General features: G+C 44.4%; 1 annotated feature.

The window, feature by feature from the left end:
• Window positions 1,943–2,143: a silencer, noted in NCBI's record as "peak2774 fragment used in MPRA reporter construct". NCBI's record gives its function as "represses an SCP1 promoter by STARR-seq MPRAs in K562 erythroleukemia cells {active_cell/tissue: K562}" and the evidence as "EXISTENCE:reporter gene assay evidence [ECO:0000049][PMID:32103011]".

Here is a 2,426-nt window from a genome sequence, read left to right on the forward strand (position 1 = left end):
TCTCGTTGTTCAACAGCTTCTTTTTCAGGCCTGTCAATCACTGTTTATCACACTTGAACCAAAACAATGATTTTTTTTTCCCTCTCTGAGGCCAGGAGGACCTACTGGGGAGATAGTGACTAACGCTGAGGCAGGACCAGTGTGTCATACAGACTGAGACTAGAGTAGCTCAAAATTGTTTATGTCAGCACAGAAACCAGGAGTACCATGCCAATAGGAAGGGCCCATGCCAGTAGCTACTATTACATCTGGCAGAAGGAGGCGCAAATATTTTTCTGAGATCCTATTTTGTCAGGTATTCTTTATTTAAACTTCTCAACAAACTTGCCAGATGGACACTTTTACTCCCATTTCATAGATAGAGATACCAAAGCTCAAGGTTGTTAAAAAGCATGCACACACAAAAAGAAAATGTGCACAGCTCCAGTGCTAACAGAACAGCACCATTCCAGAAGAACTGTCCATGGACACAACTAGGATGGGTATTAGGATCCCGATAGCAGGCTGAGGTTCAGGCAAGTCCCTGTCTCACTGGGACCCTGGGTACTAAGAGCAATCAATCTGGCTCCAGATAAGGCATGAAGCAGAGGAAGAGCAAATGCTTAACTCAGGGGCACAGGGTTAGGGAGGGAGCTCACCCTTGGCAAAAGAGGTGCCTAAACTGGGTTAGTGGCACAGTCATGTTCCAAAGCCCATCAAATGAAGTTCTGAGACTTTGGATGAAGCTTACCCACCTTGGAAGAAGTAAACCTGACAGAGGGAAAGAATGCAGGGTTTTAAGTGGGTGCAGATGGAGGAGCTGACCCAGGAGGAATAAGAGAAGACTTCCTGGAGGAAGGGGTGGCCACATTGAGTGGTAGCCACGTATGTGAAAGTGGAGGAAAAGAGAAAAGAATTCCCAGCAGAGAAGACAAGAAACAAAGACATGCATGTGTCAAAACATCACAAAATGGGGAGAAAACTATAGTTGGATATAACTTGAGTGTTAAACTTGAAGCAAGAAGTGGCCATTAATAAGCCAATAGCTGATAATAGCTAACTTCTACTGAATGCCTAGCACATTCCAGATTTTCTCAGTTTTACATATAGTATTCATTCATTCATTTCACAAATAGATATTGAGCACTACAGGGATGGCTGCATGATGTGAGGGTGAAAAGTTTCAATGCACATTGAAAATGTGGGGCCTCTAGTTCAAAAGCAGGAAAAAGCTTTTTACCTCCTTCCACGGTCCCTCTCCACTAGTCATGGTATTTTTTATTTGCTATTTAATATTGTATTCCTGAAGCACAGGGATACTGGCAGGGCAAGTACAGACCCTCACAGGCACCCACTGCCCTGCCCTGAGACTTCGATCATAGGCCACACATATGCCCAACTCTGACCCTCCTCATGTCCATGCCCAAGTCCCCTCTGAGGCATAAGGTGGCAGTTGCTGAGAAGGAATGGAAGAGGAGGTAGGTGAGAACCCATCTGGAAGAGGTGAAGGACAACAGAGGCAAAATCACATGCGAATTGGAGCACGAAGCCCGTGAAGCATGCTCCAGTGTCCAGTCGGACTCACTTACAAAACACAGATGTAAAGATCAAATTATTAAGAATTTCAAGATGGCAACCACACAGCATTAAACTCCAAGTGCAGGGCCCCCTCTCTGAGCATGGGCCCCATGCACCTGCACTGGTTGCATGCCCTTGAACCTATCACTGGAGTACCGCCATGTGTTAAGTTCTGCTCTGGACTCTAAGGTACAGCAGTGAACAAGACAAAAACATCCTGCTGTCTTGCAGCTTACATTCAAGTGGGGAGAGAAAACCAACCAAATTAGCAAGGCAAATATATGGTATATTTAAGGGTCATAAGTAAAATGGATGAAAATGATGCAAGAAGAGAGTATAGTGGTACTGGAGAAGGTGCAGTTTTTAAGATAGATGTCTAGAATAGGCTCATTGAGAAGATGACTCTTGAACAAAGATTTGAAGGAAGTGAGAAAATAAGCCAAGAGCATAGGTGGGGAAGACTGTTCCAAGCAGATAAAAGAGCAAATGCGAAGGCCCTGAGTCAAGAGTGTGCTTGCCTTGTTCAAGGAAGGCGGTATAGATAGAATGGGACAAGTGAAGTGCAAGAGATGCAATCAGAGAAGAAGCAGAGGTACAGATCATGTAGGGCCCTAAAGGTCATTTTAGGGACTTGGGCATCTCTGAGTGAGATGAGAACCTGTGGAGAGTTTTAAGGGGGAAGTACTATAACTGGACATATTTTAAAAGAGTTACTCTGGCTGCTATGTGAAGAAGGGATGACTGAGCTGAGTGTCAAATTTTGAATGGTAGCAATGCAAGTGAAAGTGGAGGATGAGGACAGGAGAAATAGCATGCAACTGGAGAGTATTGCAATAATCCTGGTGAGAGATGATAGAGATTTAGACCAG

The sequence above is a fragment of the Homo sapiens genome, chromosome 17 (genome assembly GCF_000001405.40).
Source record: "Homo sapiens chromosome 17, GRCh38.p14 Primary Assembly".
NCBI classification, from domain to species: domain Eukaryota; kingdom Metazoa; phylum Chordata; class Mammalia; order Primates; family Hominidae; genus Homo; species Homo sapiens.